Source organism: Homo sapiens, chromosome 1 (assembly GCF_000001405.40).
Source record: "Homo sapiens chromosome 1, GRCh38.p14 Primary Assembly".
NCBI lineage: Eukaryota > Metazoa > Chordata > Mammalia > Primates > Hominidae > Homo > Homo sapiens.
Genome location: NC_000001.11, coordinates 92,275,947 through 92,299,029, shown reverse-complemented (window position 1 = coordinate 92,299,029; position 23,083 = coordinate 92,275,947). Strand labels below are relative to the sequence as shown.

The 23,083-nt window shown below is 39.2% G+C and overlaps 1 protein-coding gene across 14 annotated transcripts in view, besides 4 other annotated features; it reads left to right on the top strand.

The window, feature by feature from the left end:
• GLMN (glomulin, FKBP associated protein) overlaps positions 1–23,083 on the top strand; it is a 124,443-nt gene that overhangs the window by 71,815 nt on the left and 29,545 nt on the right. For 4 of the 14 annotated variants that reach the window (NR_135089.2, NM_001319683.2, NM_053274.3 and 1 more), the window contains exons 1-7: positions 43–105; positions 1,001–1,069; positions 1,501–1,626; positions 7,493–7,612; positions 8,724–8,832; positions 9,879–10,116; positions 12,438–12,540. Coding sequence is in view for 11 of the 14 variants with exons in the window: in NM_001319683.2 (NP_001306612.1) it covers positions 1,031–1,069; positions 1,501–1,626; positions 7,493–7,612; positions 8,724–8,832; positions 9,879–10,116; positions 12,438–12,540 (735 nt within the window). In the remaining 3 variants the exon portion in view is untranslated. Of the gene's footprint in view, positions 1–42; positions 545–1,000; positions 1,070–1,500; positions 1,627–7,492; positions 7,613–8,699; positions 8,833–9,878; positions 10,117–12,437; positions 12,541–23,083 lie in introns of those variants that run through there. The other 10 variants (XR_007068627.1, XM_017000138.2, XM_017000137.2 and 7 more) reach the window with 6 other exon arrangements.
• Positions 8–477: an enhancer, noted in NCBI's record as "active region_1311". NCBI's record gives its function as "activates an Ori minimal core promoter by ATAC-STARR-seq in GM12878 lymphoblastoid cells {active_cell/tissue: GM12878}" and the evidence as "EXISTENCE:reporter gene assay evidence [ECO:0000049][PMID:35858748]".
• Positions 8–945: a biological region, named in NCBI's record as "NANOG-H3K27ac-H3K4me1 hESC enhancer GRCh37_chr1:92763642-92764538".
• Positions 49–945: an enhancer, noted in NCBI's record as "NANOG-H3K27ac-H3K4me1 hESC enhancer chr1:92763642-92764538 (GRCh37/hg19 assembly coordinates)". NCBI's record gives its function as "activates a minimal SCP1, AML or CMV promoter by ChIP-STARR-seq in primed H9 embryonic stem cells {active_cell/tissue: H9 hESC(primed)}" and the evidence as "EXISTENCE:reporter gene assay evidence [ECO:0000049][PMID:30033119]".
• Positions 209–546: a silencer, noted in NCBI's record as "fragment chr1:92764041-92764378 (GRCh37/hg19 assembly coordinates)". NCBI's record gives its function as "represses an EF-1alpha promoter that drives an FKBP-Casp9 reporter gene in an ReSE screen in phorbol 12-myristate 13-acetate-treated (for megakaryocytic differentiation) K562 erythroleukemia cells {active_cell/tissue: K562(+PMA)}" and the evidence as "EXISTENCE:reporter gene assay evidence [ECO:0000049][PMID:32094911]".

Sequence of the window (23,083 nt, the reverse complement as noted above, 5' to 3'; positions counted from 1 at the left end):
CCCCGAGGCCCCGCCTCCCTACGCGTAGCGCGGGGCGGGGCCAGAAGAGCGGGCTAAGACGCCGGAGGAGGTGGCGGCGGCTGGGAGAGGCGAGGGTTCTGGCCGGTAAGTGGAGTTGTGGAGAGGTTCAGGGTGGCCAGGGCTCGCGGTTGGCCGTGAGCCGCGGCGGACTTGGTGCTGCGGGCCGACTAGGCCACGCGAGGTGGTGGAGCCTGCCCACCTAGGCGAGCAGGAATCGGAAGACATGGCTTCCTCTGATGCAGCCCGCACGCGCGCTGGGGTGTTCACTCGCCTTCCAGCGCGCTGCCCTGAGGACCGGGCTGACTCGCGCCCCTACTGAGGGCTTGGGGCCGAGCCTTGCCGCCAGGAGAAGCGATGGTCTCCTCCTGAAGGCCGCCGTTGTCTTGTCTCCGTGTGATACAGTGATTTCACTAGCTGGATTGATCACTTTGGGGACTGCAACTCCTAGAGAGAAATGGAATGGAGGGCATCTGAATCTTCACCCCCTATAGATAAGCTTGTGTTGCACCCCAATTTTTGTGAGGTGAGACATTAAAAATGAAAAATCCCCTGATGATTAGAATTTTGATTTCAGGTCCACCTTTTGGAAATTTTTTTTCAGAAAAGAAGTGCTTTGCTTTTTAAAAGCCCTTTAGTTCGTATATGCCTCGCCTCTTGGGAGTGCTCGAGAGGTTTTTTTTGTTTTTTTTTCCTTCAAAGTAGCTTTCAAAACTATGCTCCTAGAAAACTTAAAACATGCAATAAGGGCTTCTAAAAAAACACTTTATTTTCTTAGGCAAACATACTAAGATTCAGTAATAACATTTCAACTTTAAAACTTTACATTTTCTCCTAGCATGCTATTGGACCAAAAAACACAACAACAAAAACTTTCCATTTTCTTTATTGTATTTACTAATAATTTATCACACTGAAACATAACTTTTGAATACTTAAGTGTAATATCACGGATAGTTAACAGTGTGTTTTGTATTTGTAGATTTTAGCATCGAAACTAGGAGAAATAAGAATGGCTGTAGAGGAACTTCAGTCTATAATAAAGAGATGTGTAAGTATTAATTTTTGTAAAATTAAATACCTTTCAAAATATGGGAAGGGCACAGATTGTTTTTAATTATATTTGTGGTCACTCAAATTGTTTATCTTCTTTAATCCTTGCTTTTTTTGACCTGTAAAGAGCATGAGTGGGGGAGGCAGATTGGATTATTTCTCCAGGTGACATACTTATCTAAATAACCTTTTACATTTTAATCCTGATCCTTTTCATAGATTTCACTGGTACAGTAGATTTCAAGGTCACTTATTAAAGTATTTATTAGGGTAATCCTAATTTTGATACGTGTGTTATTTACGTTACATTTATCTAGAATTTAAACAGATTTCCTTTTTTCATAGATAAATCAAGAAGTTATTGTATTTAATTTTTATTTGCATATACTTTTTTTTGTTTGTTTTTTGGGTTTTTTTTTTTTTTGCCAGCAAATCCTAGAAGAGCAAGACTTTAAAGAAGAGGATTTTGGCCTATTTCAGTTAGCTGGGCAAAGATGCATAGAAGAAGGGCACACAGACCAGCTATTAGAAATTATTCAAAATGAAAAGAATAAGGTGCGTACAATCTTGGTGTTTACTTTTCAGTCTTGGGAAGAGAATAATCACATGATGCTATTCATCCAGTCATTTATCCATCAAACATTTAAGAATCTACTTAAATTTTCACAGTAGGGAACTGAAAACAAAAAAAGAATTAGAAATATTTAGGCCAGGCGCAGTGGCTCACGTTCGTAATCACAGCGTTATGGGAGGCCAAGGCAGGCAGATCACTTGAGCCCAGGAGTTTGAGACCAGCCTGGGCAACAGAGTAAGACCCTGTCTCAGAAAAAAAAAAAAAAAAAAGAAAAGAAACAGTCATATACTTGAAGGTTTTTACCATCTGGTCAAACATAAACATGTAAACAACTAACAATAATGAGGCAAAATAAATAATTGCTATAGTTGAAGTAAAGAGTTTTTAGAAGAAACAGAATTACTTCTGGTTTAGGGAGTCCAAAAATGGTGTTTGAGTCATTAATTTACAATGAGAAATATACATATCAAGCAGGCTAAATATTCATTTTGGGTGATCAGCCCATTCTCCTCCAGCCAAATGTGTATGGAAAACCAAATTTTAATTAAAACAGTATTTTATGTGCATAGAATCAGAACAGGAGGAAAACGATATGTCATTATACTAGCCAGTATCATCCAGTTACAATGGTTTGAGAAATCATCCTCCACAATGGAAAAGGATCTTATTTGTGGATCAGGAATAACTTTTTCCTGGGACACTGTGTTGGCAACATCCTGCCAAATTTTGTGTCTTTGGATACTCCTTATAAGGAAGACGGCTATGGTTTGGCTCTGTGTCCCCACCCAGATCTCACCTTGAATTGTAATAATCCCTGTGTGTCAAGGATGGGACCAGGTGGAGGTGATTGAATCATGGGGGTGGTTTCCCCATGCTTCTCATGATAGGGAGTGAGTTCTCACCAGGTCTGATGGTTTTATAACCATCTGGCATTTCCCCTGTTGGCACTCAGTCCCTCTCCTGCTGCCCTGTGAAGAGGTGCCTTCCGCCATGATTGTTAAGTTTCCTGAGGCCTCCCTAGCCATGTGGAACTGCATGTCAATTAAACCTCTTTTCTTTCTAAATTACCCAGGCTTGGGTATTTTTTCATAGCAGCATGAGAACAGACTAATACAAAGACCATCTTCCTTCTAGGTACACACTCTTTCTTCATTTGCAGTGCTACTTATTTATTAGAAGTTTTCTTTCTTGATATCACAGTGTAATCATGTTGATCTGTGTTTCTCTCCAGGGCATCTTGATTGGATTTGGGGGATTCCTAAAACTTTTTAATCATATATTATTATAACATCTCTTAGTCAGTAGTTCAAATGGCTTATACCCTTCTTATTTTTTATTAAAATAGGACATTTTATTTAGTTTTTGATACATGTTTATGATAACTTTGTAACCTCCAATATAATAAATCTTATGTTTTTTAAACTCTTCTTGATTTTTTTCTAATTGCGTTCTCAGGATAACCTTCTAAAGTACTTAGCTTTCAGCTAATAATAAAAAAATTAATAACAACTAATATTTATTGCATGTTTACATGTACCAGATGCTGTCTTTAGTCCTTTACATTTATTAACTTAATTAGTCTCTCCAAAATCTCAGAAGGTAGGTGTTCATTTTGTAACTGAAAAGTTAAATGACTTGCCCAAAAGTAAGTCAGCTTTTATGTAACATCCAAGATTCAGACCTGTGTAGCATGGTTTTGGAGCTCCTAACCACTCTGCTCTACCTCTGGTTAGTGCTGTATGGCGTATGGTTTTAGGGTAGAATACAGGGGATTGCTTGATTGAGAGGGAGAGGCATCAAAAATGACTGGGTTTCTAGCCTCTAAAAGGATAACATATGATATCAAACAGAAAAAGGCAACCTAAGTAGAGGGAAAAGTTTTCTGAAGGAACAAGTGAGTTGACTTTTAGAAATTTTGAGTTTAAGTACAGCAGTCAATTGGAAAATAAGGTTTTGAGCTCAGTAGAGATAGAGGAATTAAGATGTAGATCTCTGAGACACATATCTGTGAGACTTTAATTACCTAAAGATTGGGTAATTGAAGCATTGAGGAGTGAAAAAAAAAAACAAGAATTTACCTGAGTTCACATAAAAGGGGCAGAAGAGAAGAGGCCCAAGATCCCATCTTGAAGAATTTAAGAAACAGGTAGAGAGAAGAGGCCTGCCAAGGAGATGAGGATCAGCACCACATCAGTGAGGCAGAAGGAAAAGGGAAGTATAAACAAAGTATTTTTCAGGCATTGCATGCCTTAGCGTTTTATTTTTAGCATGCTTCTGAATAGCTAATGGGATAGATTTAAACATGTGAGGCTTAGTCTTAATAGTTTGAGAATCACCTTTGCAATATGTGGTCAGCTAAATGCAAAGGTTTAGATATTGATAAGACAATGTTCAAAACTGACTACAGGCTGGGCACAGTGGTTCATGCCTATAATCCCAGCACTTTGGGAGGCCGAGGCGGGTGGATCACCTAAGGTCAGGAGTTCGAGACCAGCCTGGCCAACATGGTGAAACCCTGTCTCCACTAAAAATGCAAAAATTAGCTGGGCGTGATGGTGCGCCCCTGTAATCCCAGCTACTCGGGAGACTGAGATGGGGGGATTGCTTGAACCCAGGAGGTGGAGGCTGCAGTGAGCCAAGATCGTACCACTGCACTCCAGCCTGGGAAACAGTGAGACCCCATCTCAACAACAACAACAACAAAAAACTGACTACAATTTAATTTTCTTGCCAGGTGACACTATCAAAATTGACCAAGATTTACTATTATCTTCACCTATAAGACTGAATTAAAGAAAAAAAATAAAAATAAAAAGATTTACTATTTACTGCTTTGTGAGAGACCATTCACATACTATTTATTACAGTATATTATAATTGTTGTAGTTATTGTTAATCTCATAAATTAAACTTTGTCACAGATATGCATGTATAGTATTTATATATAGTGTTTGGTACTATTCATGGTTTCAGGCATCCACTGGGGGTCCTGGAATGTACCCCCTGCAGATAAGTGGGGAGACTACTGTATCGTATACTCTATTTTTATTATCTTACAAGACTGGGGTCAAGATGAGGTATTATAGGTGTCATTTTGTCTTCTTCCTAGATCAGATTTTTTTTAAAAAAATTCTAATTTTTGTGGGTACATAGAAGGCATATATATTGATGGGTACATGAGATGTTTTGATATAGACATGCAATGTGTAATAAGAATATCATAGAGAATGGGGTATCCATCCCCTCAAGCATTTATCCTCTGTGTTACAAACAAACCAATTATACTCATTTACTTTAAAATGTACAATTAGTTATTGACTATAGTCACCCTGTTGTGCTATCAAATAGTAGGTCTTATTCATTACTTATAACTTTTTTTTTTTTTTTTGGTACCCATTAGCCATCTTCCCTGCCTCCCACTACCATTTTCAGCCTCTGGTAACCATCCTCCTACTCTCTACGTCCGTGAGTTCAGTTGTTTTGGTTTTCAGATCCCACAAAAAAGTGAGAACGTTCAATGTTTTTCTGTGCCTGACTTCTTTCACTTAACATAATGGTCTACAGTCCCATCCATGTTATTGCAAATGACAGGATGTCATTCATTTTTGTGGCCAAATAGTACTCCATTGTGTATGTGTACCACATTTTCTTTATCCATTCATCTGTTGATGGACACTTAGGTTGCTTCCATATCTGAGATATTGTAAATAGTGCTGCAATGAACATGGGAGTGCAAATATCTCTTCAATATAGTGATATCCTTTCTTTTGGGTATATACCCAGCAGTGGGATTGCTGGATCATATGGTAGCTCTATTTTTGTATTTTTTGAGGAACTGCCAAACTGTTCTCATTAATGGTTGTAGTAATTTACATTCCTACCAACAATATCTAAAAAAAAAAATACAAAAAATTAGCCGGGAGTGGTGGCGGGCACCTGTAGCCCCAGCTACTTGGGAGGCTGAGACAGGAGAATGACGTGAACCCAGGAGGTGGAGCTTGCAGTGAGCTGAGATCGCGACAATACATGTCGCGACAATATATGAGGGTTTCCTTTTCTCCACATCCTTGCCAGCATTTGTTATTGACTGTCTTTTGTATATAAGCCATTTTAACTGGGGTGAGATGATATCCCATTGTAGTTTTGATTTGCATTTCTCTGATGATAATGATGCGTACCTTTTCATATGCTTGTTTGCCATTTGTATGCCTTTTGGGAAATGTCTATTCAAATCTTTTGCCAATTTTTTAATCGGATTATTAGATTTTTTCCTTTAGTGTTGTTTGAGCTTCTTTTCTATTCTGGTTATTAATCTCTTGTCAGATGGGTTAGATCTGCTTTTTCATTATTTATATATTTTTTTGAGATAGGGTCTGTCTCTGTCACCCAGGCTGGTTTGCAGTGGTGTGATCACAACTCACTGCTACCTCGCCTCCCAGGCTCAAGCCATCCTCCCACTCATCCTCCCAAGTAGCTGGGGCTACAAGCGTGTGCCACCAGACCCAGCTAATTTTTGTATTTTATACACAGGGTTTGGCCGTGTTGCCCAGGCTGGTCTTGAACTCCTGAGCTCAAGTGATCCACCCACCTCAGCCTCCCAAAGTGTTGGGATTACAGGCATGAGCCACCATGCTTAAAAAAAAAAAAAAAAAGAAAAGAAAAGACGGGGTGCGGTGGCTCACGCCTGTAATCCCAGCACTTTGGGAGGCTGAGGTGGGCGGATCACGAGGTCAGGAGATCGAGACCATCCTGGCTAACATGGTGAAACCCCATCTCTACTAAAAAAAAAAAAAAAAAAGGCAAAAAATTAGCCAGGCATGGTGGCGGGTGCCTGTAGCCCCAGCTACTTGGGGGGCTGAGACAGGAGAATGACATGAACCCAGGAAGCAGAGCTTGCAGTGAGCTGGGACAGCGCCACTGCACTCCAGCCTGGGCGACAGAGCGAGACTCAGTTTCAAAATAAATAAATAAATAAGAATGTATTTAACTTTAAAAAACAGAGACAGGGTCTCACTAGGTTGCCCAGGCTGGTCTCAAACTCCTGGGCTCAAGTGATCCTCCTGCCTCAGCCTCCTAAGGTGCTGGGATTAGAGACATGAGCCACTGCACCCAGCCAACCACCGTGCTTTTAAAGAAGGACTCTAGGAGGGTAGTGATCTTATCCAGTGTGTTCCTCACTTTATTTCTAACCTCTAGAATATTATAGTGTAGGCTTGGTAAATACTGATGAGTTAAAATACAAAGCAGGCCAGAGAAGTGGAATACATTGTTGATCCTTTGAGAATTAGTGGTTTTGATAATGAATGTGAATTAGTCATTATAAAGATAAACTTTTACTTGTATGGTAAGCATTCTGAAATATCTTTGAACATAGAAGCCACTTGTATGTAGGAGAGAAAATTAATGAAGTTGTATCCCTTCTTTTTTTTATAAATTACAAGGATTATATTTAGAGACTCCAAGAACTTTAAAAGGTACATGAGCATTGGCTGGATTTCTTTATGAATAAGGGGAGCAAAATTGTCTGTGGAAGTTAAGTACCTGTATTAAGCAAATTAACTCTTTTGTTGGAAATAGAGGCACTATTTAAATCTTGGGAAACACCAACTTGCCTGATAAAAAGTAAAGACCCTTTTGCCTTTCCTCAGGGAACATATTAAAAACTATTTAAAAATGTTGATGTCTGTTAGTAGCCAACCCTGGAAAGTCTCTGGTGAAATGTCATAGGCTTCACTTGTCTCATCTTCCTATTTCAGAAACAATTCTGAGCTCTTCCAAGATAGGAAAGCACACTGCGAGAGTCCTATAGATGGCAGTGTTTGCTTTACTCTGAAAATGTTTTTACAGGTCATCATCAAGAATATGGGCTGGAATCTCGTTGGTCCTGTTGTTCGATGCCTTTTGTGTAAAGATAAAGAGGATAGTAAAAGAAAAGTTTATTTTTTGATCTTTGATTTATTGGTAAAGGTAAGTTAACAAAACAAGGTTCTCTTTATCATAACACACAGCAGTATTTTATAATTCCCTTTAATGTTTATTGTTTGGTAAGAAAGCTTTTGGTTCATGAAAGTACATGCAGAAAGGAACTCGTTGGAGAAAAGACCCAGTCTTATTGATTGGATAGGCAATTCCATTTCAGGATTTCCCAAATTTTCTGGATAAAAGAATTGTCTAACCTCATATTAACCTCATATCGGACCCATTGATTCAGCATCTCCAGGGAGAGACCTGGGAAGCTATATCTTAACAAGTAGCCTTATCGTATAGATGTGGAATACAAGCTTTAGAGAGGTAGTTCAAGGTCACATTTATCTTTTGGCAACATTGGAACTAGATTAAAATCTCAGTCCTCTTTCCTTTGTGGTATGTTCCCTAAAAGAAAATGGAAGGCCTAGAATACAAGTGATTAAAATTGAAGTAGGAATAGGGTAGAATACAGATCAGTTGTGACTAACAACCTTAGAAAGCGACCCTGGGTAAAAGGCTAGTAGAGTTTACAGTCAATATTTGATGGCCAAGAAAGATAAATTCTGAGAAAAAGTATATTATAAGAAACTGTTTAGTGATCAGTGCAAATATACCCAAATATATATTGGAAGGAGAGCTCCATCTGTATGAGTTATTGACTATGGGAGCTGGGAGCTTTTAAAAAACCAGTCAAGTGAGATGATAAGATATGGCCAGTCAGAAAGCAATGCAAAGTTTTACCTGTTCAAAAAATACAAAAGAGATTCCAGACTAGTCTAAATAGGCTTGCAGCATGGGATTGAAAGGTCCCACCTGCTGGAGCCCCTGAGAATCTGTTAAGGCAATTTCAGAGTGGACAGGTGAAGCTCAAAGGAAACCTGAGCCTAAAGATCCATTGACTTCTTGCTTTTTAGTTTTATAGTTACTTGACCATCACAGATTCTGTGTTTTGCTCATGCATATTTTTTCAACAATTGTATAAATAATTTTAATGTTAAGCAAAAACATAATTGTATAATATTTTGTCGATACATGCCTTCTTAAAAATAGTAATAATGTGGCTTTAAATACAACTTGTATTAAACAGGTTCAATTGTGAATATTTTTATAGTTATGCAATCCAAAGGAATTATTGTTGGGTTTGCTTGAACTGATTGAAGAGCCCTCTGGAAAACAGATATCCCAAAGTATTCTTCTTTTGCTTCAGCCATTACAAACAGGTAATGAGAATTTTGATATCAGAGTACTTCTTGTTGTATCTCTAAATGCCTTGATGGTTACCTCAAAATGTCAATACTACACCAAAGTAAAGTTTACAGCTAATTAGTGAGTACTCTGCTTAAACCAATAATAGCAATGCCAATGTGAATACTGCTGCTCATAGAAAGATTATAGTATCTGGCCAGAGTGGGTACCCAGTAAATATTCTGTTGAATGTCATACTATTTTTCATGTGCTATATTGAAAACTATACCTTTTTGCCTAACCTTCCTATCTGCTGCTTAAATCTAGAATTTTCTCTCTAAACATGTTTCAAGGGTTACCTCTGTGGTGTCTGCAGTACTAAATCTGATAGCATTATGGTAGTCTGGAAGAGTATCAGGCAAGGCATTGCTCAGCCTCTGCTTTGGGAGGTTGGATTGGGCATAGCAAAGCTACTACTGAAGAATGAAACGAGGAGATATGGGATGATAAGGCTCCATGGCTGAGTGCAGTAACAGTATTGGTAGGTAATGGGTCTTAGCAACCAAGGCAGACAGTATCCATAGGAAGAGGTTATTTTTCATTTTAGGAAATTCGTTTATCTCACAATCTGATAGAGGGACCTAGAATCAGAAATTAAATTTGTTTTAAATATGAATGCCTGCCAGCTTCATACTACCTGTAATATTCAGTCTTCTAGGGAAAAAAAATCTAATAATACCACCTCCTATTTGTGTAGTGCTTTATAGTTTACAATACACTTATATTTTGTGCTTATAACAACCCAAAAACATGGAAAGAACATGTTTCTGTCTTAAGTACATAGCCTGTTACACATAGTCTGTTATAAACATAACCTAAACAGCATTTCATGGCAAGATGCTGTATTATTTTATGCACAACTAAGAAGAAAAAAACACTGCCAATTAGACTGTGATGTGTCATCTTGATTCAAGAGTTGTTAAAATGTGGGAGGAGGAAGTGTCTTATAATTCCACATTTGCCGAATTTCTTGTCCCATGTTTAGCATACTTGATGAGCGACAACTTGATCTCTGTTTTAGTGATTCAGAAACTTCATAACAAGGCATATTCAATTGGATTAGCATTGTCTACCCTTTGGAATCAGCTATCTCTTCTTCCTGTTCCATACTCAAAAGAACAAATACAAATGGATGACTATGGCCTTTGTCAGTGTTGCAAGGCCTTAATAGAGTTCACTAAGCCTTTTGTGGAAGAAGTCATTGATAACAAAGAAAACTCACTGGAAAATGAAAAGTTAAAGGATGAATTACTGAAATTGTAAGTATAATTTTAAGAACATCTCACAGTGGACTTAAGTAATTGATAGTTCAGTTATTTTATGTTTCTTCACTTTGTTTGACATGTAAATAGAAATCTAGTTTCAGATTTTGAATTTTAGAAGAATGTGGGGTTCAGTTGATACAGCATGGGAACTTGAGACATTTATATTTTAAAAAATTATAGGCCGGGTGTAGTGGCTCACACATGTAATCCCATCACTTTGGGAGACTGAAGTGAGAGGATTGCTTGGGGCCAGGAGTTTGAGACGAGCCTTGGCAACATAGTGAGACCCCCATCTCTATAAAAAAATTTAAAAATTAGCTAGATGTAGTGGCATATACCTGTAGTGCTACTGCTTGGGAAGCTGAGGCTAGAGGATGGGTTGAATCCAGGAGTGTGAGGCTGCAGTGAATGATGATTGGCCACTGTACTCCAGTCTGGGCAACAGAGCAAGACCCTGTCTTTAAGAAATTAATTAATAAAATAATTATAAAACCAAAATCCATTCATTTACTTTATATTCTTCTTTGTATTGCCTTATTCATCATAGTAGGTGAATAATGAAAGTGGGGGAAATAGATACATGTAGCTCAGGGTGAGTGTGGGAAATAGATATAGGTAGCTCTGTGGAGAAATTGTGTTTTACTCTTTCAAAGGAAGCAGCAGAAAGACCACCAGACAGAACATCCAACTGGACCACAAAAATAGTGGTAGAGTATCCACCCAATAGCATTCCCTCCATGGGTACTATAGACTAAACATCTACTGTTCAATATGGCTGTAGCACTTGACATATGGCTGGTCCAAATTCAGATATACTTTAATTATAAAATATCCCCTGGATTTTGAAGACTTGTTATTTAAAAAAAAAAAACAGTAAAATACCTCAATTTTTATATTGATAACATGTTGAAATGACAATATTTCAGATATACTGGGTTAAGATAAATTATTAAAATCATCTCTCCCATTCTTACTACTTTTTTCATGTGTCTACTAAAAGATCTTAAATTATATATGGGGCTGTGTTATATTTCTATTGGACAGTGATAGACTAGATTAATTACATGGACCAGTAATTTTTAAATTTTGGCTACTTGGGAGGCTGAGGCAGGAGGATCACTTGAGGCCAGGAGTACAAGACCAGCCTGGGCAACATAGCAAGACCTCGTCTCTAAAAAATAGAATATAAAATAATATTTTAATTTTGGAGACTAATACTATTTTTAGCTTCCTACTTGTCAGGTTAGGACATTTAAAAAAAAATTTACAGCCAGACGTGGTGGCTCGCACCTGTAATCCTAACACTTTGGGAGGTCAAGCTGGGAGATTGCTTGAGCTCAGGAGTTTGAGACCAGCCTAGGCAACATAGTGAGACCCTGTCTCTACAAAAAATAAAAAAGTTAGCTGGGCACAGTGGTGTGTGCCTGTAGTCCCAGCTACTTGGGAGGCTGTGGCAGGAGGATCCTTTGAGCCCAGGAGTTTGAGGTTACAGTGCACTATTATTGTGCCACTGTACTCCAGCCTGGGTGACAGACACCCTGTCTCAAAAAAAAAGTTTTTTACCATTTATAAAACCCATTATTTCATAAAAGAAAAGGTATTTTAACTAAAGAAATAGGAAAGGCTTAATCACAGAATAAAGTTTGGTTTTCTAAATAAAACAAATAGAGCTGTGTGAAAAAATGACTGTATTTCTTGATTTTTTCTTTGAACTAATGAAAACAACATCATAGACTAGCACCAGCCCTCAAACATTCAGAATTCAATGGAATAGTTCAGATGTAGAAGTCAGTCTTAGCATGTTGAGTCTAGCAAGGTGTTCTCATGTTCTCCCCATTACTAGTACGAACGACGTTACATCACCAGTTTTATAGACCATTGAGTTATTGATGCTTGTCTTAATCCATTTGTGCTGATATAACAGAATACCTAAGACTGGGTGATTTATAATGAACAGAAATTCATTGGTTCACAGTTCTGGAGGCTGGGAAGTCTGCAATTAAGGCGCTGGCATCTGGCAAGGGCCTTCTAGCTGTGTCATAATGTGGCTGAAGGTAAAAGGGCAAAAGGCAAAAGTGGGCTGAACTTGCCCTTTTATAACAGCATTAATCTCATCCGTGAGAGTGGAGCCCCCTTGGCCTAATTCCCACCTCCTTATGGCAGTTAAATTTCAACATGAGTTTTGGAGAGCAGAGTCATTCAAACCATAGCAGTGCTTATGTTATTTTTCAAGTAAAATTAACTTAGATTTGAAGACCTAGGGATTTTATACTTGGAAGTGTTGATTTCATAGTTACCTATTTCTTATGCCTTAGTTGTTTCAAAAGCTTGAAATGCCCTTTGCTGACAGCACAATTCTTTGAACAGTCTGAAGAAGGTGGAAATGATCCTTTCAGGTATTTTGCATCAGAAATAATAGTAAGTACAGCTAATTTAATCTGCTATAATCTTAAATGTTATCCCACTATATTCTCAGTACTGCACATGTAAATTGATACATTCATTAATAAAGAAATGTGTATTTTTTGTAGAACACACATAAACAAAAGATGGAAAATAAAACAGCAATAATTTTATTATCCAAAGATAAATATTAACATCCTCCAGGCTTTTTTCTTATATACTTATTTATAATAATACATATATATAAATTTTTCAAAGATTTTATATATATATATAATCTTGTAATCTACCTTTTTCCTCTTCAACAGTATATTATGAATATTTTTCCATTGGCTTAATAGTGTTCCATGGTATGGACTTAGTATAATGTATTTCACCTGTGCCATATAGTTCAACATTTGGATTGTTTCTAATTTTCCATTATTGTAGGACAACTCCAAGTTTTCTTTTTTTAACTGTTAAGTCTATGATAAGTAACCTAGTAATTAAATTTTTGCATACTTTTCAAATTATTTCCTTAAAACTCCTAGAGTGGAAATTCCATGCCCTGTGATAAATATTTTCAAAATAGCTCCATATTTAAGTAAATTTTATTTTAAAAGCAATTTGGCTTTATGCATCAATAGTATTTTAAAATGTGCTCAGATTCTGTATTAGAGAAATAATCTGAAATATTAAAAAATTTATTTTAAGTTGATGTTTCTGAATTTCAAAAGAGAAAGTCCATGTGGCTGTGTAGTTTTCTTCAGCCATGTTCAGCTACATGAGTGCAGGTGCAGCATAGGAGTAACATTTGGTTGAATTAGGGTGGGGTTTTAAGAACAGGGTAAGTTGTAGAGAGCAAGAGGGGGGCAAGGGATTGAGCATGTATGTAAGGTGATTTCTTTTTCAATTATACTTTAAGTTCTAGGGTACATGTGCACAACGTGCAGGTTTGTTACATAGGTATACATGTGCCATGTTGGTTTGCTGCACCCATCAACTCATCATTTACATTAGGTATTTGTCCTAATGCTATCCCTCCCCCAGCCCCCCACGCCCCAACCAGCCATGGTGTGTGATGTTCCCCACCCTGTGTCCATGTGTTCTCATTGTTCAACTCCTACCAATGAGTAAGAACCTGCGGTGTTTGGTTTTCTGTTCTTGTGATAGTTTGCTTAGAATGGTGGTTTCCAGCTTCATCCATGTCCCTGCAAAGGACATGAACTCATCCTTTTTAATGGCTGCATAGTATTCCATGGTATATATGTGCCACATTTTCTTAATCTAGTCTATCATTGATGGACATTTGGGTTGGTTCCAAGTCTTTGCTATTGTGAGTAGTGCTGCAAGAAACACACATGTGCATGTGTCTTTATCATAGAATGATTTATAATCCTTTGGGTATATACCCAGTATTGGGATGGCTGGGTCAAATGGTATTTCTAGTTCTAGATCCTTGAGGAATCGCCACACTGTCTTCCACAATGGTTGAACTAATTTACACTCCCACCAACAGTGTAAAAGCGTTCCTATTTCTCCACATCCTCTCCAGCATCTGTTGTTTCCTGACTTTTTAATGATCACCATTCTAACTGGCGTGAGATGGTATCTCACTGGTTTTGATTTGCATTTCTCTGATGACCAGTGATGATGAGCATTTTTTCATGTCTGTTGGCTGTATAAATGTCTTCTTTTGAGAAGTGTCTGTTCATATCCTTTGCCTACTTTTTGATGGGATTTTTTTTTTCTTGTAAATTTGTTTAAGTTCTTTGTAGATTCTGGATATTAGCCCTTTGTGAGATGGGTAGATTGCAAAGATTTTTCTCCCATTCTGTAGGTTGCCTGTTCACTCTGATGATACTTTCTTTTGCTGTGCAGAAGCTCTTTAGTTTAATTAATCCCATTTGTCTATTTTGGCTTTTGTTGACATTCCTTTTGGTGTTTTAATCATGAAGTCCTTGCCCATGCCTATGTCCTGAATGGTATTGCCTAGGTTTTCTTTTAGGGTTTTTATGGTGTTAAGTCTTACATTTAAGTCTTTAATCCATCTTGAGTTAATTTTTGCATAAGGTGTAAGGAAGGGATCCAGTTTCAGCTTTCTACATATGGCTAGCCAGTTTTCCCAGCACCATTTATTAAATAGGGAATCCTTTCCCCATTGCTTGTTTTTGTCAGGTTTGTCAAAGATCAGATGGTTGTAGATGTGTAGTGTTATTTCTGAGGCCTCTGTTCTGTTCCATTGGTCTGTATATCTGTTTCGGTACCAGTACCAATCTGTTTTGGTTACTGTGTCCTTGTAGTATAGTTTGAAGTCAGGTAGCTTGATGCCTCCAGCTTTGTTCTTTTGGCTTAGGATTGTCTTGGCTATACGGGCTCTTTTTTGGTTCCATATCAACTTTAAAATAGTTTTTTCCAATTCTGTGAAGAAAGTCAGTGGTAGCTTGATGGGGATAGCATTGAATCTGTAAATTACTTTGGGCAGTATGACCACTTTCATGATATTGATTCTTCCTATTCATGAGCATGGAATGTTCTTCCATTTGTTTGTGTCCTCTTTTATTTTGTTGAACAGTGGTTTGTAGTTCTCCTTGAAGAGGTCCTTCACATCCCGTGTAAGTTGGATTCCTAGCTATTTTATTCTCTTTGTAGTAATTGTGAATGGGAATTCACTCATGATTTGGCTCTCTGTTTGTCTATTATTGGTGTATAGGAATGCTTGTGATTTTTGCACATTGATTTTGTATCCTGAGACTTTGCTGAAGTTGCTTAGCAGCTTAAGGAGATTTTGGGCTGAGACGATGGGGTTTTCTAAATATACAATCATGTCATCTGCAAACAGAGACAATTTGACTTCCTCTTTTCCTAATCAAATACCCTTTATTTCTTTCTCTTGCCTGATTGCCCTAGCCAGAACTTCCAACACTGTGTTGAATAGGAGTGGTGAGAGAGGGCTTCCTTGTCTTGTGCCATTTTTCAAAGGGAATGCTTCCAATTTTTTGCCTATTCAGTATGATATTGGCTGTGGGTTTGTCATAAAAGCTCTTATTATTTTGAGATACGTTCCATCAATACCTAGTTTATTGAGAGTTTTTAGCATGAAGGGCTGTTGAGTTTTATCCAAGGCCTTTTCTGCATCTATTAAGATAATCATGTGGTTTTTGTCATTGGTTCTGTTTATGTGATAGATTACGTTTATTGATTTGCATATGTTGAACCGGCCTTGCATCCCAGGGAAGAAGCCGACTTGATTGTGGCGCATAAGATTTTTGATGTGCTGCTGGATTCGGTATTTTATTGAGGATTTTCTCATCGATGTTCATCAAGGATATTGCCCTAAAATTCTCTTTTTTTGTTGTGTCTCTGCCAGGCTTTGGTATCAGGATGATGCCGGCCTCCTAAAATGAGTTAGGGAGGATTCCCTCTTTTTCTATTGATTGGAATAGTTTCAGAAGGAATGGTACCATCTCCTCTTTGTACCTCTGGTAGAATTCGGCTGTGAATCTGTCTGGTCCTCGACTTTTTTTGGTTGGTAGGCTATTAATTATTGCCTCAATTTCAGAACCTGTTATTGGTCTATTCAGAGATTCAACTTCTTTTAGGTTTAGTCTTGGGAGGGTGTATGTGTCTGGGAATTTACCCATTTCTTCTAGATTTTCTAGTTTATTTGCATAGAGGTGTTTATACTATTCTCTGATGGTAGTTTGTATTTCTGTGGGATCAGTGGTGATATCCCCTTTATCATTTTTTATTGCATCTATTTGATTCTTCTCTCTTTTCTTCTTTATTAATCTTGCTAGAGGTCTATGTATTTTGTTGATCTTTTCAAAAAAGCAGCTCCTGGATTCATTGATTTTTTTTGAAGGGTTTTTTGTGTCTCTATCTCCTTCAGTTCTGCCCTGATCTTAGTTATTTCTTGCCTTCTGCTAGCTTTTGAATTTGTTTGCTCTTGCTTTTCCAATTCTTTTAATTGTGATGTTAGGATGTCAATTTTAGCTCTTTCCTGCTTTCTTTTGTGGGCATTTAGTGCTATAAATTTCCCTCTACTCACTGCTTTAAATGTGTCCCAGAGATTCTGGTATATTGTGTCTTTGTTCTCATTGGTTTCAAAGAACATCTTTGTTTCTGCCTTCATTTCGTTATGTACCCAGTAGTCATTCAGGAGCAGGTTGTTCAGTTTCCATGTAGTTGTGCAGTTTTGAGTGAGTTTCTGAATCCTGAGTTCTAATTTGATTGCACTGTGGTCTGAGATACAGTTTGTTGTGATTTCTGTTCTTTTACATTTGCTGAGTAGTATTTTACTACCAATTATATGGTCAATTTTAGAATAAGTGCGATATGGTGCTGAGAAGAATGTATATTCTGTTGATTTGGTGTGGAGAGTTCTGTAGATGTCTATTAGGTCCACTTGTTCCAGAGCTGAGTTCAAGTCCTGGATATCCTTGTTAACCTTCTGTCTCATTGTTCTGTGTAATATTGACAGTGGGGTGTTAAAGTCTCCCATTATTATCGTGTGGGAGTCTAAGTATCTTTGTAGGTCTCTAAGGACTTGCTTTATAAACCTGGGTGCTCCTGTATTGGGTGCATATATATTTAGGATAGTTAGCTCTTCTTGTTGAATTTATCCCTTTACCATTATGTAGTGGCCTTCTTTGTCTCTTTTGATCTTTGCTGGTTTAAAGTCTGTTTTATCAGAGACTAGGATTGCAACCCTTGCTTTTTTTTTTTTGCTTTCCATTTGCTTGGTAGATCTTTCTCCACCCCTTTATTTTGAGCCCATGTGCATCTTTGCATGTGAGATGGGTCTCCTGAATACAGCACACCAATGGGTTTTGACTCTTTATTCAATTTGCCAGTCTGTGTCTTTTAATTGGAGCATTTAGCCCATTTACATTTAAAGTTAATATTGTTATGTTTGAATTTGATCATGTCATTATGATGATAGCTGGTTATTTTTTCTGTTAATTGATGCAGTTTCTTCATAGTGTCACTGGTCTTTACCATTTGGCATGTTTTTGCAGTAGCTGGTACCGGTCGTTCCTATTCATGTTTAGTAAATCCTTCAGGAGCTTTTGTAAGGCAGGCCTGGTGGTGACAAAAATCTCTCACCATTTGCTTGTCTGTAAAGGATTTTATTTCTCCTTCACTTATGCAGCTTAGTTTGGCTGGATATGAAATTCTGGGTTGAAAATTCTTTTCTTTAAGAATGTTGAATTTTGGCCCCCACTCTCTTCTGGCTTGTAGGGTTTCTGCTGAGAGATCTGCTGTTAGTCTGATGGGCTTCCTTTTGTGGGTAACCTGACCTTTCTCTCTGGCTGCCCTTAACAGTTTTTCCTTCACTTCCACCTTGGTGAATCTGACAATTATGTGTCTTGGGGTTGCTCTTCTCAAGGAGTATCTTTGTGGTGTTCTCTGTATTTCCTGAATTTGAATGTTGGCCTGCCTTGCTAGGTTATGGAAGTTCTCCTGGATAATATCCTGAAGAGTGTTTTCTAACTTTGTTCCATTCTCCCTGTCACTTTCCGGTGCACCAATCAAACATAGATTTGGTCTTTTCACATAGTCCCATATTTCTTGGAGGCTTTGTTCGTTTCTTTGCACTCTTTTTTCTCTAATCTTGTCTTCTTGCTTTATTTCATTAATTGGATCTTCAGTCACTGATACCCTTTCTTCCACTTGATCAAATCGGCTATTGAAGCTTGTGCATGCGTCATGAAGTTCTCGTGCCATGGTTTTCAGCTCCATCAGGTCATTTAAGTGCTTCTCTACACTGTTTATTCTAGTTAGCTATTTGTCTTACCTTTTTTCCAGGTTTTTATCCTCCTTGTGATGGGTTAGAACATGCTCCTTTAGCTCGGAGAAGTTTGTTATTACCGACCTTCCGAAGCCTACTTCTGTCAACTCATCAAACTCATTCTCCGTCCAGTTTTGTTCCCTTGCTGGTGAGGAGCTGTGATCCTTTGAAAGAGCAGAGGCGCTCTGTTTTTTGGAATTTTCAGCTTTTCTGCTCTGGTTTCTCCCCATCTTTGTGGTTTTATCTACCTTTGGTCTTTGATGTTGGTGACCTACAGATGGGGTTTTGGTGTAGATGTCCTTTCTGTTGATGTTGATGCTATTCCTTTCTGTTTGTTAGTTTTCCTTCTAACAGACCTCTCAGCTGCAGGTATGTTGGAGTTTGCTAGAGGTCCACTCCAGACCCTGTTTGCATGGGTATCACCAGTGGAGGCTGCAGAAGAGCAAATATTGCTGCCTGATCCTTCCTCTGGAAGCTTTGTCCCAGAGGGGCACCCGCCTGTTTGAGGTGTCTGTCGGCCCCCTACTGGCAGGTGTTTCCCAATCACGCTACGCGGGGGTCAGGGACCCGCTTGAGGAGGCAGTCTGTCTATTATCGGAGCTCGAATGCTATGCTGAGAGAACCACTGCTCTCTTCAGAGCTGTCAGACAGGGATGTTTAAGTCTGCAGAAGCTGTCTGCTGCCTTTTGTTCTACTGTGCCGTCCCCAGAGGTAGAATCTATAGAGGCAGTAGGCCTTGCTGAGTTGCGGTGGGCTCCGCCCAGTTTGTGCTTCCAGGCCTCTTTGTTTACACTGTGAGCTACTCAAGCCTCAGCAATGGCGGACACCCCTTCCCGTCTAGCTGCAGCCTCGCAGGTCGATCTCAGACTGCTGCGCTAGCAGTGCGCAAGGCTCTGTGGGTGTGGGACCCACCAAGCCAGGCATGGCAGGGTATCTCCTGGTCTGCCGGTTGCTAAGACTATGGGAATAGCACAGTATTTGGTCAGGAGTGTACTGTTTCTCCAGAAACAGTCTGTCACGGCTTCCCTTGGCTAGGAAGGGGAAATTCGCTGACCCCTCGCACTTCCCGGGTGAGGCAATGCCCCGCCCTGCCTCAGCTTGCCCTCCGTGGGCTGCACCCACTGTCCAACCAGTCCCAGTGAGGTGAACCAGGTACCTCAGTTGGAAATGCAGAAATCACTGGTCTTCTGCGTCGATCTCGCTGGGAGCTGCAGACCTGAGCTGTTCCTATTTGGCCATCTTGGAAGTGACTCCTTTTTTTTTTTTTTTTTTTTTGTGACAGAGTCTCGCTCTGTTGCCCAGGCTGTCGTTCAATGGCATGATCTCAGCTCACTGCAACCTCCACCTCCTAGGTTCAAGCAATTCTCCTGCCTCAGCCTCCCAAGTAGCTGGGATTACAGGCACCCGCCACCACACCTGGCTAATTTTTTGTATTTTTAGTAGAGTTGGGGTTTCGCCATGTTGGCCAAGCTGGTCTCAAACTCCTGACCTCACGTGATCCACCCGCCTCAGCCTCCCAAAGTGCAGGGATTACAGGCGTGAGCCACTGTGCCCAGCCGCAAGGTGATTTTAATGTACAAAGTGACTTTAATGATGGACATAGAATTTAAGCTGGGTAAGGAGTAAAGTTAGGACATGCAAGAGACAGTGAAAAGGTGATTGGATCATTAGGTTGTAGAACCTGGTGTGGGTGACAGATGTTTGGAGTTAGGTTACTAAAAGGGGTGAACTGAAAAAATAGGTGTAAAGAATAGGATGCTTGAAAATAGTATTATGGAAAGATTATAGTTACTAGTATCAATGTCTGGGGTGTGACCATGAGAGGGTGTTCTAAAGGAGAGGATAGAGGCAAAGGTCATTGGGCTAGAGAAAATGAAATACTTGAGATTTCAGAGTATCAGAAGATCTTTGGTTGTACATTTAAATCACACAGAATTATAATGTTGGAAAGCCATGTGATGGGGTGACCTTGGGGTCTACTAACTGCAACAAGGAGGGGTAGAAATGGTAAAGTCATAAAAAATGAGTTTCAGAGTTGAGGGATTTTTAGAGAGGATGGGGAGAGAATGGTGTAGAAGCAGCAAGGAGAACAGATGTATTCCCAGGCTCAGTGGTACAATGGGTATAGATGAAAAATACAGTAGTCTTTTGAAGGGTTGCAGAGAAAGCAGCTGTTTTCAGATGAGAGCCAATTTTAATTTAGGAGAGATGGAAAAAGGGGTCAGATGAAGGGATGCTAGAAGTTTATGGGAATAAATTCTGAAGATGAGAGATGACTTGGTGACTGATATAATTAGGAATACATAATTTAATAAGGTTAATGCTGATGGTCACGATAATAGTGAAGAGGCTGTGAGGGATGAAGTAGGAGAGGTGACGGGTTTTCTCTGGAGCACACAAAAGTCTGGGGGCTCTTCATTGTTACCAGTGCTAGAGCACAGTATCATCTTCTGGAGGTAGTATAAGCACCATCACATATGATATGTATTTTGAGAAGACAACTATGAAAGTTGGAAACTATTAAAGGAAATCTGGTGATGTAGAAAAACCAAACTCAGTTTCTCCTACTATAGTCATAACAAGTTTCTGACACCAGATGTATGGAGTTCCCTGCCCTGCCCCCTGCCCTTCACGGCAAGCAAGCAAGCAGTTGTACAACGGACACCAATTGGGTGTCCTCTAATTCAATTCCAACGTTACCTACCTGGAGATAGTGTCAGATTTCACAGGTTGAGGGCTAAATACCTCAAGACTGCCCCCCCTTCCAATGCCAGTCTCAAGCCCTAGGATGTTTTACCTGTGCTCTAACTGACTGGCAATAAATCAGGATTCCCAGGACCCCCTCCTTGGGTTTGATTAATTTGCTAGATTGGCTTACAGAACTCAGGGCACTGCTTACTTACATTTAGTGGTTTACTATAAAGAATATTACCAAGGATACAGATGAAGAGATGCATAGGGCTAGGTATAGGGGAGGGGGCACCAAGTTTCCATACCCTGCCTGGATGCACCACCCTACTGGAAACTTCGTGCGTTCAGCTTCCAGAAGCTTTCTGAATCCAATCATTTTGGGTTTTTATGGAGGCTTCATTATGTAGGAATGATTGATTACATCATTGACCGTTGGTAATCAACTTAATATTCAGCCCCTTTCCCTTACTGGGGTGGGATGGGGGTAGGGCTGTGGGACTGAAAGGTCCAGCCTTCTAATCACAGGGTTGGTTCCCTTGGCAACCAGCTCCCATCCTGAGGCTATCCAGGAGACGCAGCTATCAGTCAACTCAATAGCATAAAGACACTTATCACTTTGGAGATTCCAAGGATTTTAGGAGTTATATCCCAGGAAGTGGGAACAAAGAGCAAATATATATGTCACAGTATCACAGATGTTAAATCTGGGAGTGATGTAATCAAACTGTGTTTAGGATTCATCACTTTAAAGGAAGATGACTAACTGGGATAAAATTGGAAGTAGGGAAGCCTTGGGAGTTAAGTAAGCAATGATGGGAGCCTGAGTATAGATGTATGGATATTTTTTGTTTGTTTCCTTTTTTTAATTGACTAAATTTATGACACATTCTGTTAGTAGGGATATAGTTTTAAAGATGAAGAAAGGGCAGATTTGAGAACTTTATAGTAGGTAAAATTGGCAAAATTTGGTCATTGATTGGATTTAGAATAAAACATGGATGAGGGTTTTTGCTTGGATAACTGGGCAGATGAAGGTGCCAATACTTGAGATAGAGAATACAGAGCAAGAATCTGGGGGTCTTGTGCCTTTAAAACAAATGTATTGTAAAAATTTACAAACATTCAGAAAAGTACTAAAAATAATCTAGCACATGCCCATGTACCCATCACCCAGCTTCAATAATTATGAACATTTTGCCAATTTTGTTTTATCTGTCCTCCTCCTTTTCTTGCTGTAGTATAACAAGTCCTAAACATAATTCATCTGTAAGTCTTTAAGGATGCTTCCCTAATGACAAGGGCTTTTTTAAAAAAACAAATAACCACCAGGCTATTATGACACCTAACAAGATTTTATTACCTTTTGTTAAAATTTTTTGAGACAGGGTTTCACTCCCATTGCCCAAGCTGGAGTGAAGAGGCATGATGTCGGCTCACTGAAACCTCTGCCTCCCGGACTCAAGCAGTTCTCCTGCCTCAGCCTCCCAAGTAGCTGGGACTGCAGGCACACATCGTCCCACCTGGCCAATTTTTGTATTTTGGGTAGAGATGGGGTTTCACCATGTTACCCAGGCTGGTCTCGAACTCCTGGGCTCAAGCGATCTGGCTGCCTTTGGCCTCCCAAAGTACTGGGATTACAGGCGAGAGCCACTGTTCCCAGCCTAACTCCTAACAAGATTAACAATAATTTTTTAATATATATCTAATAACCAGAGAGAGAATAGGTTTTTAAGGAATTTAAAATATAATATTTTAATATGTAAATATATGTATATTTAATATAGAATTATATGTAAATGTGTATATATATTTTTTGAGATAGGGTCTTGCTCTGTGGCCTAGGCTGGAGTGCAGTGGCACAACCATGGCTCACTGCAGCCTCAACCTCCCAGGCTCAAGTGATCCTTCCACCTCAGCCTCCTGAGTAGCTGGGACTTACAGGCATACCCCAGCATGCCTGGCTAATTTAAAATTTTTGTTTTGTAAAGGTGAAGTCTCACTATGTTGTACAGACTGGTCTTGAACTCCTGGGCTCAAGTGATCCTCCCACCTTGGCTTCCCAAAGTGCTGGAATTACAGGTCTGAGCCACCATA